Source organism: Homo sapiens, chromosome 21 (assembly GCF_000001405.40).
Source record: "Homo sapiens chromosome 21, GRCh38.p14 Primary Assembly".
Lineage (NCBI taxonomy): Eukaryota > Metazoa > Chordata > Mammalia > Primates > Hominidae > Homo > Homo sapiens.
The window spans coordinates 40,260,023-40,275,234 of record NC_000021.9 but is presented as its reverse complement, the minus strand read 5'-3'; the positions used below and the strand labels follow the sequence as shown (position 1 = coordinate 40,275,234).

At 40.8% G+C, this 15,212-nt stretch overlaps 1 protein-coding gene across 4 annotated transcripts in view; it reads left to right on the top strand.

Moving 5' to 3' along the window:
* DSCAM (DS cell adhesion molecule) overlaps window positions 1-15,212 on the top strand; it is an 836,160-nt gene that overhangs the window by 571,924 nt on the left and 249,024 nt on the right. The window lies entirely within an intron of this gene.

Below are 15,212 nucleotides of genomic sequence, written 5' to 3'. Positions count from 1 at the left end.
CCTCAGCTTTCTTAGTAGCTAAGACTACCAGTGTATGCCACTGAGCCCAGCTTTTTTTTTTTTTAATTTTTTATAAAGATGAGGGTCTCACTTTGTTACCCAGGCTGGTCTCAAGCTCCTTCCCTCAAGTGATCCTCCCCTCTTGGCCTCCCAAAGCACTGGGATTACAGGCATAAGCCACTATGCCTGGCCCTTGGATTTCCTCTTTTTTTTAACTTTAATTCTGCTATGGATAGTTTGGAAAAGTCTCTACTATATGATTTATTAGAAGAATGAGATTTAAAAGTGGCATTCAGGGGTGTGTGTATTTGTGTGTGTATGATATTGAAAGGCTAGCTAAACAGACAAGTATCCATCCTAACTCACGAAGAATTTATTTTAGTTAGTCCACTATTTCCAACAGAACAAAAAAAATCCAAGTGTTTATTTATTAAAGTTTTATATTGTGAAATGGATTATAATTATGAAATGGGGTTGTTTTGGAATATATTTTGCACATACTCAATACCTAGTTTTTGACTTTTAAATCGTATGCTCTGGAGGAAATGATGTGCAAGAATTTGATAACGAATTGTGGTACTGTTTAAATCCAGAGCTGAAATGGTAATTTTTAAAAGTTATAAAGGAAACCTAAAATCTGAGGAGCAATGTTGACCAGAGTCGGTCCATCTTTCCCCAAGGAAAGGGGTGTATTTTGCAGTTATTTTAATAGACTTTAAATGCATAAGACAATTTTTTAGTCCATAAACACATATCTAGGACCCAATATATATAAGACCCTATGAAGGATACAAGTACAATCAACCATGGGCCTTACCCTCATGAGTGACAAGCCTCATGTTTTGGAAGGGGAGATAACCAGGAAGAAGATAGAAGCCACTGATTACAATGCAGGGTGAAGAGTCACATGGATCATGTCTGTGACATTCAGAGGAGGATGGAAATGTCAGCTTGGGGGAATTAAGGAAAGCTTCATGGAAAATAGGCTTCAAGAATGGACGATGCCCCCATATGTCCTCTCTCCAGATCTCGGTACTCAGTGGCAGTTGTGCAGCATCAGGGAGGACTAAGGAGATGAGGTGGCCCCTGCCCTCTAGGAGCTTTTGCTCTCTGGGGATAATTGAGTGGATATATGTCCAATTCCTGTCTGGCAGAATACACAACTGGTGGAACAGAGCCCAGAACACCAGGGTTCATGGAAGAGGGTATGATTTGCTTCTGTTTGTAGAATCAGTGACCGTGTGGAATGAACTGAATGTCTGTGTCCCTTCAAAGTCCATATGTTGAAATCTTACCGCCAGTGTGATGATACTAGAATCTGAGGCCTTTGAAAAGTGATTGGGTCACAAAGGGGGAGCCCTCAGGGATGGAATTAGTGTCCTTATCGAAGGGACCCCAGAGAGCTCTCCTGTTCTCTGTTTCCACCATGCGAGGATATACAAGAAGGTGGCAACCTGGAGGAGGATGCTAGAACCTGCCCCTGCTGGCAGCCCCATCTCAGACTTCCAGCCTTAGAACTGTGAGGAATACATTTCCGTTGTTGATAAGCCACCAATGTATGGCACTTTGTTACAGCAGCCCCAGTTGACTAAGAAACTACGGAACGAAAAGCTGCAGCATCTGAGTTCGGTCTTAAAGACACAAGGGCCTTCAAAAGGCAGGACTGTTGAGGCTAGATAGGGTATTCCAGGGACAGGAGACAGAGAAGCCAGATACAAGAAACTGAAAGACTCCAGGCAAGAGTAACTCTCTGTTCGAATGTTCTACAGTACATGGAGGAGATGGGAGAGGAGAACATTTAAAGTGAACACACTTCAAAGAGAGATGATAGAGTTGGCCAAATTTTAGATTCTTAAACTAATACAAGCTAGTCATGGACAGGTGGATTTAAATAAGTTAAATGCACCTCTTCATGACTGTTTGTATTAGTTTATCTCTCTAGGCCTAGAAAATAGGAAGAACTATGCCATCTTCATAGAGTTATCATGAAAATTAAACAGGGTAACACATGTGAAAACACATTGTAAGACATAAGATACTCTAAATAAGTATTCCAATACATACATAGAGTAAATGATTCTTTGGTTGGAAAGAAAGAGAAAATGTATATTGATGGCACAGTGCATAGGAGCATTTCCAGAAAGTTATTCTGAAAAAAAATTAAAAGGCCAGAGGCTAGGAAAAGGGAAGAAGAAAGAGGACCTCCATGGCCCATGGGGAGGTATTTTCATCCTTGTCTAATACTCGTCCAAAGCTCAGCCCTGGAGTGGTGTCTTTAGCAACTCTAATGGCCAATGTCTTTTGCCTAACCCTAGTTGTTTAAGAACAATCAGTAAAGTGTTTTAGGATCTCAAACTGAAAAAAAAAATAGATATAAAGGAGAGTTTACTGGTCTAAATAAACACATTAAGTACTCTCCCCTTTCTGTAAGTCATTTTAAAAAATGGGCTGCAAATATTTCTAAATTCAATAGGGGAGACCTTGCTGTCTAATTGGATGATGTCAGGAAATTAAGACAGCTGCTCCTGCAGCAAGTCTGGACTCCCAGGATGGCCTGGTGCTGGCTGTAAACATAATTTAAAGACCCAAACTCTCCGGATAGGACCTGCTTCTGGGGGCTCACTGTGAGATCCTGCGAACCCTGCACAGAGGGTTTCTCCTATATGGGAAATTTTCTTACTGCTTTCAAGAAACATCACTCCAAAAATAAAGCATTTTAACAATAAACACCCACCACATACACACACATCTTTTTGTTGTTGTTATTGAATCAAGCATAAGGAAGCCACAGGCAAAGAAGAAAGCCAGCAAGCATGTATGGAATTGTCATGGAAAGCAATCAATGGGATGGAAGGTTACTGCATGCAAATCTTTCCAGCTCTGTTGGGGTTCCTGTCTGTGAGTCTACACTGTCATCACAATTCTGGTTTATGTTTTACCCAAAATAATTATCATGTGAGATAACGATTAGGAGGCTTGGCAGAAAAGGCAGAGGGAGTAGGCTCTGCTTGCAATCAAATTTGGCCTCTGGTGATGACATCCTGCCCTATGCTCCAGGCCGATCGGGGGCTACAGAAGCTATGCCACTTATGTGCCCCTTCCCCCAACCAGGAACTGTTTGAGGCCCAGGGAATGACTTTATGTTAAAAAAAAAAAAAATAGCTCTGTCAATCGAGGAAAATAATGAGACAAGTCTCAATCATTTTAGGATATTTATTTGCCAAAGTTGAGGATGCTCCCAGGAGACAGGTCTATTCCTTTCTCCGAAGGTGATTTTGAGGGCTCCAAATTTAAAGGGGAAAGGATGAGATATTGAGAAGCACACAGCTTTCACATAAACAAAAGGGGCAGAGGAAAACTGTGGGGAATGTGCATTTTACATACCACAGACAAAATGGAGAGGGGAACGTTCAGTTATACATTTGTGTCTGGTGGGCAGAGCGACTGCACCTGTAAAGATAGGCTATCAAGTTGCATTGCCATGGGGAAGCTTTAACAGCTCACCAGGAATTTCCTTGTGGGCAAAATATGAGGGAAGCGTGTAGCTTTTCATCTTGTAGCCATCTTGTTTAGGAACCAAAAGGTGGAGGCAGATTTGCGTGACCCAGTTCCCAGCTTGACTTTTCTCTTTGGCTAAACGAATTTGGGGTCCCAAAATTTAATTTCCTTTCACAGCTCCAAAACCCACTGAATCTCTTAAATGGATAGCCATCCCTAAGGTTTGTCTCAGATGCCCAAATTACATCCTCCCCGCTCCCAACTTTCTGCCACTGGCTGATCTGAAGCCTCGTGTTTCCGGGAACACTGGTTTCAGCGTGAACCTGTGGCCCACAGTGAACAAGCCGCTCTGCTTTTGTGAGCTGCTCTGCATAGGTCCTTTCTGATCCCTGCATGCAGGACAAAAGAGCACCGCTTATCAAACAGGAACAGGCGCTTCCCTGGAGAGTCAGTTACTCTTGGAATCTAGTGAACCCCCAAGCTCCCAAAGTTAGCCCGTGGGCTCTAGTCCAGCCTATGTAATGTGGTCTCCCTCCTCCATGCTGAATCCAGGAAGGTCTGTGGGTCGCTGTGCCCATCAGATTTCTGTACTGTCAGAATGCAAGTGCACACATGTGCATGCACCAACTCACTCAGCTCTGACCTGACCGTCTGCAGGGTCTTGGCTATTTCTGGACAGATCTCCATGTTATGATTTGACCTCAGGCCACTCTCAAGCCCTGCCATTGCCAGGGCAGATATGTTGGGCCTGACATATAATAACCCATCTCCTTTTCTGTTGAAAACATGTGTATCTATGCCTGGATAATCCATAGTCAACCTCCTTTACTTTCTGCCCTCACCCACTGCCACCAGTACCCACAAATCTTTATCCTAACCCCTAATTAGCTAAATGGAAATCTCCAGTCCCGGTAGCATTGCTCTGTGATACTTCTTGGAGGAGGAAGTAGCCCAGCCCCAAGCTGCCCCCAAGCGGCCCCCAAGCTGCCCCCCATGGTGAAGCTTTGGCCACCTTGAATTAACCCCACATGTTTCCCAGGCTCTTTATGATCACTCAGTCTGCTGAGCCAATCACCTCCCACCAAGCCCCTCTTCCAACACTGGAATTAAAATTGAGCATGAGATTTGGGTAGGAACACAGATCCAAACCATATCAATCATCATTTCTGAATTATAGTTTAAGTCCTTCCCAAACATGACAAATTAGTGCCTGAAATAGAATATGAGGTGTCCCAGGTTTGTGAACACCCAGCTTATGCACTTTCCTAAATTCAGTCACCAGCACCCCCAGCAGTCCTCCCCCAACAATTTATCCTGCACATATGCAACACTCAGATCCCTCCTGCTTCACTCTCAAGTCCAGTTGCCAGATACGTCTGCAACTTTGCTGGGAGTTTTTCCAAGGAAGGAGTCTCCCGCAGAAGCTTCAGAGGGACTGCAGCTGTGCCAGCACTTTGATTTTGCACTTCTGGTCCCCAGAATTGTTTAAGCATAAATTTCTGGAGGCAGAAGCAGAGAATGGGAAGAATCCAGGGAACGTAAGTGTGCTGGAGGGGACATTGCTTAGTGAAGGAAACCCCTCAGCAGCTGCCACGCCCTTGGTAGGGCATCCTGAGCTCCACCCAAACATATGCATTTCCCTTCCTAAGTCAGCCTGAAGTTCCACCAGCTAAAGATTCTCTGGGGTAAAAAAGGAATTTGTAAAACAGGAGGGTCCATATAGCAGATGCAATTTGATCCCTGCTCCAGTTTCAATTTCCCTCCTTTCTCTGTGCTAAAAATTGAATTATTTCCCGTCCACCCCCTAGATTTGTATGTTGAATTTGTAACCTCCAGTACCTTATATGACCATATTTGGAAATAGCGTACTTGCACATTGCAGGTATAATTAGTGAAGATGAGGCTCTACTGAAGTAGGCCGCCGGATCCCTAATCCAATATGACTGGTGTCCTTATTAAAAGGGGACAATCTGGGTGCAGACACAGATGGAAAACATAGCTGGGCAAAGACAGAGATTGGAGTTATGCTGCCACAGGCCAAGAGACACTGGGCAAGGCAAGGAAGGGGTCTCCTGTAGAAACTTCAGAGGGACTCCAGCCCTGCCAGAACTTTCATTTTGGACTTATGGCCCCCAGAAAGATGTGAGAATAAATTGCTGTTGTTTAAGCACCCCAGTTTGTGGAACTTTGTTACAGCAGCCCCGGGACACCATACACTCAGTGACAACAGAACTCTTTTGCGGTCTTGTGTTGGAGGGAAGCCCACCACAGGCCAGATCCCCTGCCTAAGCAGAAGAGTCCGAATCCATCAAAGCCACTGGGTGTGAGCCCTGGCCGGGACCCATCAAACGCAGCAGCTCCCTTTGATTGAAGGATGGGCAGACAACCAGAATTTGCACAATGAAACGTAAAAACAATTCTTTTGAGGAGTTTCTGGAGAAGATTTCCGTATTCTTAATACGGGACTCTGCAAAAGAGGTTTATCCCATTTAATTCTTGACCCCATGATGTCTGGCAGTACATGAGATCACCTGGGACTTTATTGCCTTTGCTGTCTAGGCCAATGTGGGTCAGGGTTTTTGCATTTGCAGCTGGAGGCATCCAAACTAATTAGCTAAGGAGAGAGCAGCATCTCCAATTCATGGAGTGCGATTCAGCCACAGTGTTCCCCTCGGTAATCCTGCTGAAATAAATGGCTCTGGGGGAATGAGGAGTTAGATCTGGATTGAGAAGCTATAGGGATTTGCAGTGCATGCTTTGGGCTGGGGCAGAACAGCTCCGTGGGAGGATAGCTGAAGGTGGATGGCAGCACTCGGACCTGGGCACATATGGTGGCTTACAGCAGGGAGCTCAGTACCTGGTGAGGGAGGTTCTCCTGCCTCAGCTTCCCGAGTAGCTGGGATTATTATAGATGCCCATCACTACACCTGGCTTATTTTTATATTTTTTCAGTATAGATGGGGTTTCACCATGTTGGCCAAGCTGGTCTCAAACTCCTGACCTCAGTTGATCTGCCTGCCTTGGCCTCCCAAAGTGCTGGAATTACAGGCATGAGCCACCACAGCCTTTCGAAAAATTACTGGGGCCAGTAAAAATCTTATGTTTCCACTCCACTGTTCTCCTCCTCCTCCTCTTCATCCTTCTGTTTTGAGGCACCCTTCTACCAAGCAACTAAAATGTTATTATTTTTTTTAACTTTGGGGTAATTGCGCCTATTTCAATGTTTTTCAGTTGATTTAAGGTCCTTCTGTTCCATGGCCTTCCCCTGTGGCCAGTGGCACTGATGTTCTGAACCCTCAATCAGCCATTACCTTCCACACTGGCATCTGCTGAGAAGTCTGAGTGCCATATGGTCCTTGACTGTGGGGTCACTGCTTAGTTCCCTTGGAATCTCCTCCTGTCTTCTGGCTGCCCCTGACCAGACCCACCCATTTGCCCATCAGCAGGGTTCACTGAATGCTCCCTAGTGTCAAGAATTGTTCTACATCCTGCGTGCTCTGAATAAGACCAAGTATTAGTTCACCGTCATGCAGCACAAATTCCCTTGAGAAAGACATGGAGATGGGTATATAACATAATGCCTGGCAGAGGATACAGTGATGTAAGAAAGCAAGGTGTGCATACGTCTTGGAGAAAGCATTCCAGGCAAATGAATTAGCAAGGGCAAAGGCTGAAGGGAGAAATTGGTTACATCTGTGGAGCAGCAGGGACCCTGTTTGCTGGAATGTATATATGTGTGTGTATTTGTATATACTTGTGTATATACGCATGCCTATGTTTGTATATATACACATACAGTATACATAGACCCACACAATCCAGATTTTTCTTTCTTTTTTTGAGGTGGAGTTTCTCTCTTGTTTCCCAGGCTAGAGTGCAATGGCACGATCTCAGCTCACTACAACCTCCACCTCCTGGGTTCAAGTGATTCTCCTGCCTCAGCCTCCCAAGTAGCTGGACTTACAGGCACCTGCCACCATGCCCGTCTAAGTTTTATATTTTAGTAGAGATGGGGTTTCAGCATGTTGGCCAGGCTGGTCTCAAACTCCTGACCTCAAGTGATCTGCCTGCCTCAGCCTCCCAAAATGTTGGGATTACAGGTGTAAGCCACCACACCCGGCCCATAATCCAGATTTTATGTTATATAGTTATGTGCTGCATAACAACATTTTGGTCAGTGATGGACCACATCTATGACAGTAGCCCTTAAGATGGAGCTATAATGGTTAACATACATCTAATATATGTGATAATGGACAACATCCTAACATTGTAACTTAATGCATGACTCACTTGTTTGTGGTGATGCTTACATAACAAACCTACTGCCCTGCCAGTGTACGAAAGCAGAGCACACATTATGTACACTATGTAATACTTGTGATAATAATAAATGACTATTCATGGTTTATGTATTTACTAATTGTTCATAATTACTTTAGACTACTCCTTCTACTTATAAAAAAAAAAAAAGTTAACTGTAAAACAGCTCAGGCAGGTCCTTCAGGAGGTGTCCAGATGACCTGTTACTTGTTTTTTCATTTTTTAATTTTTTCTATTTCAATAGCTTTAGGGGTACAAGTGACTTTGATGACATAGATGAATTGTTTAGTGATAAAGTCTAGGATTTTAATGCACCTATCATCTGAGTAGTGTACATTGTACTCAATATATAGTTTTCTATCCCTCACCTCCCTCCCACCCTCCCCACTTCTGAGTCTCCCGAGTCCGTTATAGCACTCTGTATGCCTTTGTGTGCCCAAAGCTTAGCTCCTACTTATAAATGAGAACATGCATTATTTGCTTTTTCAATTCCTGAATTACTTCACTTAGAATAATGGCCTCTAGTTCCATCTAAGTTGCTGCAAAAGACATTATTTCATTATTTTTATGGCTTAGTAGTACTTCACGATGTGTGTGGGGGTGTGTGTGTGTGTATATATATATATATATATATATGCATGTGAAAATTTCAAGATGATATATATCTAACATATATATATACACACAAGATATACAAGATTAATCTATATATAACATCTTTATATATATAAAATTTCAAGATTATATATATATATATATATATATATATATATATATAAAACATCTTTGTCCATTCATCAGTTAATGGACACTTAGGTTGATTCCATATCTTTGCAATTGTGAATTGTGCTGTGATAAACATAGACATGCAGGTGTCTTTTGATATAGTGACTTCTTTTCCTTTGGATAGATACCCAGTAGTGCGATTGCTGGATTAAATGGTAGATCTACTTTTAGTTATTTGAGAAACCTCCATACTGTTTTCTGTAGAGATTGTGCTAATTTACATTCCCACCAGCAGTGTGTAAGTGTTCCTTTTTCAATACATCCATGCCAACATCTATTGTTTGTTAACTTTTTAATAATGGCCATTCTGGCTAGGGGAAGGTCGTATCTCATTGTGGTTTTAATTGGCATTTCCCTAATAGTTAGTGATGTTGAGCAGTTTTTTCACACGTTTTTGGCCATTTGTATATCTTCTTTTGAGAAATATCCATTCAGGTCCTTTGCCCACTTTTTAATGGGATTATCTGTTTTTTCTTGCTGATTTCTTTGAGTTTGTAGATTGCGGATATTAGTACTTTGTCGGATGCATAATTTTCAAATATTTACTTCCATTCTGTAGGTTGTCTGTTTACTTTGATGATTATTTATTTTGCTGTGCAGAAGCTTTTTCATTAGGTCCCATGTATTTACTTTTGCTTTTGTTGCGTTTGCTTTTGGGGTCCTAGACATAATTCTTTGCCCAGGCCAATGTCCAAAAGAGTTTTTCCTAGGGATTCTTCTAGAATTTTTATGGTTTCAGGTTTTATATTTAAGTCTTTAATCCACCTTGAGTTAATTTTTGTATCTGGTGAGAGATAGGAATCCAGTTTCGCTCTTATATATGTGGCTATTTGATTTTCCCAGCACCGTTTATTGAATAAGTTGTATTCTCCTTAAATTGTGTGTCTAATCCATTATGTTTTTATATGCTTTGTCAAAGATCAGTCAGTTGTAAGTATTTGGCTTTATTTCTGAGTTCTCCATCATGTTCCATTTGTCTATGCATCTACTTTTATATCATTACAATGGTGTTTTAATTACTATAGCCTTGTAGTATCATTTGAAGTTGGGTAATGTGATTCTAAGAATAAATCTTTTTGCTTCGGATTTCTTTGGCTATTCTAGCTCTTTTTTGGTTCCCTATGAATTTTATGTTTTTTTTTTTATTTTGTGAAAAACGATGTTGGTATTTTGATAGGAATTGCATTGAATCTGTAGATTACTGAGCAGTATGGTCATTTCCACAATACCGATTCTTTCAATCTATGAACATGGGATGTTTTTCCATTTGTTTGTCATCTATGATTTCTTTCAGCAGTGTTTTGTAGTTCTCCTTTAGAGATCTTTTCACCTCCTTGGTAGAGTATATTTATTAAGTGTTTTAAAAATAAAGTGTTTTATTTTCTTTGTAGCTATTAAAGGGGTTGAGTTCTTTTTTTTTTCTTTTTTTTTTGAGACGGAATTTTGCTCTGTCCCCCACACTGGAGTGAATGAAGTGGTACGATTTCGGCTCACTGCAACCTCTGCCACCTGGTTCAGGCGGTTCTCCTGCCTCAGCTTCCCGAGTAGCTGGGATTATAGATGCCTGTCACTACACCTGGCTAATTTTTATATTTTTTTTCAGTATAAATGGGGTTTCACCATGTTGGCCAAGCTGGTCTCAAACTCCTGACCTCAGTTGATCTGCCTGCCTTGGCCTCCCAAAGTCAGGCGTGAGCCACCATGCCCAGCCTGAGATCGTGTTTGATTCTCAGCTTGGTCATTGTTGGTATATAGCAGTGCTACTGATTTGTGTATATTGATATTGTAACCTAAGACTTTACTGAATTCATTTATCAGATGTATGAGTCTTTTGGAGGAGTCTTTAGGGTTTTCTAACAGAGGTAGTTTTACTTCCTTTTTTCCTATTTGGAGGCCCTTGATTTCTTTCTCTTTCCTGATTTCTCTGGCTAGGACTGCCAGTATTATGATGAATGGAAGTGGGGAAAGTGGGCATCGTTGTCTTGCTTCAGTTGAATGCTTTCAGCTTTTCCCCATTCAATTCAGTATGATGTGGGCTCTGGGTTTGTTATATATGGCTTTTCTTATTTTGAGGTATGTTCCTTCTGTGCCTAGTGTGTTGAGAGTTTTTATCATAAAGGGATATTAGATTTTATCAAATGTTTTTTCTGCCTCTATTGAGATGATCATATGGTTTTTGTTTTTAATTATGTTTATGTGATGAATCACATTTTTTGACTTGCGTATGTGGAGCCATCCCTGCATCTTTAGAATTATCATGGTGAATTATTTTTTTGATGTGCTATTGGATTCGATTTGCTATTGGATTTGGTTTGCTAGTATTGTGTTGAGAATTTTTGCATCTGTATTCATCAGGAATATTGGTCTGTAGTTTTCCTATTTTGTTATGTCCTCTCCTGGCTTTGGTATGAGGATACTGGCTTCATAGAATAAGTTAGGCAGGATTCCCTCCTTCTCTGTCTTTTGGAATAATTTCAGAAGGATTGGTACCAATTCTTTTTTGAATGTCTGGTAGAATTTAGGTGTGAATCCAACTGGCCCTGGGCTTTGTTTTGTTGGCATTTTTTTTTTATTGCTGATTCAATATCACTGCTTGTTATTAGTCTCATCAGGATTTCTATTTATTCCTGATTTAAGCTATGGGGTTGTATGTTTCCAGGAACTTATTTATTTCCTCTAGATTTTCTAGTTTGTGTCCAGAGTGGTGTTCATAGTAGTCTCAAATGATCTTTTGCATTTCTGTGGTGTCAGTTGTGATGTCTCCATTTTCATTTCCAATTGAACTTATCTGAATCTTCTTTCTTTTCTTGGTTAATCTAGCTAGTGGTCTATCAATTTTATTTATCTTTTCAAATAACCTCCTTGTTGTTTCATTGATCTTTTATAATTTTTTTGTTTCAATTTGATTTAGTTCTGCTCTGATCTTTGTTATTTCTTTTCTTCTGCTAGCTTTGGGTTTGGTTTGTTCTTGTTTCATTCCTTGAAATGTGATGTTAGGTTGTCAACTTCTGATCTTTCAGACTTTTAATGTAGGCATTTAGTGCTGTAAACTTTCCTCTTAGCAATGCTTTTGCTGTATCCCAGAGATTTTGATAACTTGTGTCACAGTTATCATTCATTTTGAAAAAAAATTTAAATTTCCATCTTGATTTGATGGTTAACCCCAAAATCATTCAGAGGTAGATTGCTTAATTTTCATGTATTTGTATAGTTTTGAGGGTTCCTTTTGGAATTGATTTCTGGTTTTATTCCACTGTGGTCTGAGAAGATACTTGATATGATTGAAATTTTCTTTGCTCTGCTCACACGTTTATTCATCCAGGTAAACCTAAACATGATTTTGTCTATTTCAAAAATAACCATTAAGTAATTATTTATAGAATAATTTAATGTGAGGGACCCACCTTTTTACCATATTGAGTCATTATATCCAGAAATGAAACTTCTCTTTATTGTCTTTAGTTTTCTGGTAGATTCCTTAACGAAGAGGCACAGTTGTCTCCATTTTGGACTTAGACATATTTTATTAATTTTTACCAAAGAATTTTGAATTTTGTATGGCATTTTAAAAAGGTATCTTGGCTTTCTCTTTTATTTGTATAGCCTAAGCACACATCCTTATTAATTTAATACTATTGGACTCTTAATTATGTTTGAATATTTTTGCAAAATTAACAGCCTCATGGTGAGATGGCCAATGGCAAGAAAGCTCCAAGGTGCATGCACATTAGTTTCAACAGGAGCTGCCTGATTCTTTTCATTGATTCAAGAAACATTTGCTGAGTTCTTACCATGTGCCAAGCACGGTATTAGGCACAGTCAGCCAAGCCTCTGAGCTGGGATTCCCAAACTGCTGTCCTTGTACCTCATTTCTATCACTGCCCTCCAGCCAAAGCCCATCAGTCACATACTTGTAGGGTACCAAGTTGAGTTTATTCTTGTCATGAGCTAAAGCATACAACATGGAAACAATGAGATGCCTTCATAAGAGGGTGTTGGGAAGGACGTATTATAAACTTGGGCTTGTGTTAGGTGATTTGGGGGAAGGTTCAAGTAAGTAGGACCTAACTCTGGAGTGACGCTGCCAGAAAGTGGGAGTAATTCTATGATTGGGTATTGTCTTGATTTGTTTTCTGTTGCTATAATTATTACTTGAGACTGGGTACTTTATAAAGAAAATAGGCTTATTTCTTACAGTTCTGGAGGCGGGGCAAGTTCAAGGTGAAGAGGCTGCACCTGTAAGGGCCTTAATGCTGGTGAGGACTCTCTGCAGAGGCTTTTTGCTGCATAAAGCATGACATGGTGAGGAAGCTGACCTCATCTAAATCTAATTATCTCCTAAATATCCTGCCTCTCAAATACCGTGGTTAGATTTCCCACCCTCTTTTGGGAGGTGGGCTTAAACAACAGAAACTTATTTCTCACAGTTATCGAGGCTGAAAAGTCCAGGATCAAGATTCTAGCAAGGTAAGTTTTATTCTGAGGTCTCTTTTCTTGGCTTGTGGGTGGCTGCCATCTCACTGTGCACTCACATTACTTCTTTATGTACACATGGACAGAAAGAAAGAAAGAAAGCGAGAGGGAGAGAGAGAGGGAGGGAGGGAAAGAGAGAGAGAGAGAACACTCAAGTTAACTCTCAGGTGCCTTTTCTTAAAAGGATATTGATCTAATCAGACTAGACCTTCTCATGACTTCATCTCACTCTAATTACCTCTCAAAAGTAATTACCTCCCTGTCTCCAGATACCATTACATTGGTTAGGGCTTCAACATATGAATTTTGGAGAGGTACTACCATTAAATCCATAACATTAAATTTCTATTTGTCAGGGTTCTCCAGAGTAACAAAGCCAATAAGACATATAGAGAGATAGTGCTATTTATTAGCATACATATTTATATCTCTTTATATTGGTATATATGTATATACTTATATAAGAATGTGTGTGTGTGTGTGTGTGTGTGTGTGTGTGTGTAGAGAGAGAGAGAGAATAAGTTTATTATAAGGAATTGGCCCACATGATTATGGATGCTAAGAAGTCCCAGGAAAGCCAATGTGTAATTCCAATCTGAAAGCCATCAAGCTCTAGACCCAAGGAGAGCCAATGTTTCACTCGAAGTCCAAAGACAAGAAAAGACCAAGGTCCCAGCTCAGCCATCAGGCAGGCAGAGTTTCTTCATACTCAATCTTTTTGTTCTTTTCAGGTCTTAAATGGATGGGATGAGGCCCATGCACACTAGAAAAGGCAATCTGTTTGACTCAGCCTACCAATTCGGCTTTAATCTTGCCCAGAAACACCCTCACAGATACATATAGAATCATGTTTGACCAAATATGTGGGCAAGATTTCTCACCCCCTTAGCACAGTTATATAATTGTGGTTAAGTTTCACTGTGAGTTTCAGAGGGGACAAACATTCAAACCATAGCAGATATTTAATAAATCTTGTTCATAAGATGAGAGAAATGAAGCCAGGCTAATGCTGTTATGGGTAAAGAAGCAGTGGTCAGTCACGTTAGACAAAAGAACAGATGTTTGGTCATTGTTGTGGTTTCTTTGAACAATGCTCATGCTATTGTCTATGTTCAAACATGATAACGGAGGGGTCTTCTTTTGTCTTGATCCATCTCGGTCACAGAGCTGTTTTGTCTGATGTTAGTGTTTTGTGAAATTGTTTATCTTCAATAACAGAACACCAAGGCCCAGGTGGGAGTTCCCAGCCAGCTCCTGGATGTCGGGGGCTTTTTTCCAATCTCTAGTTTCATTATTATCATGTAATCATTTTTAATATCATTCATCTTGAAAAGGATGCAGAAGACAATACATAGTTTTGTTTAGACTTAATTAAGAAGAGAAGCTACACATAAGTGCTTTCATCAAGGGCCACTAGACCAGTCTTATTGCAAACTCAGCTGAAACAAGCTCCTGACCTGCAATGGGCCTTGTGAATGGGTACATGGAAATAAGCTGATGGACAGGCAAGGCTTGGAGATGTTTCTCTGATGATTTATTCTTTGTAGAATGCAAGTGCCTGGTTGTGATGCTCACTTTTCTCTTGAGGACTCCCAGGTGTGACCCTCTGCAGGGACCATCCTCACTCCTCATGTTAGGACATATCCAAAGACAACAGCTACGGAGCAGAGTCACTGATGCACATTTGTAAAGCAATGGCAGGTCATGGCAAGTGTCCATGCTACAGGGCAGTGACCCACCATCTGCTCTTTGCAGTTCAGCTGTGGCTGAGGCAGGAAGGCAGAGACAGGGCTGGAGGTGGTAGACTTTTGAATATACTGTTTTCCCACCTATTTATTTCAATTTCCACACCCTTAAGCCAATTGATTCCAGAACCTCAAGTTAGATGTCCACTTTTTGTGGCTATCCGTTTGGCTACTGATTGTAAGACACATTACAGAGGTGTACAGTCCATGTATACACAGGCAAGTAAGGATCTTCTCATTCCAAAGATGCTTGAGCAGAAAAGAGCACCTGATTTTCAGCTCATTCTGAACACTGGAACTGTGACTTTAATCATCAGTATGTTGTATAATAAAACCTGAAGGACTACACAGGATAAGCATTGTTAGTTAAGAATGGCTGACTCGGCT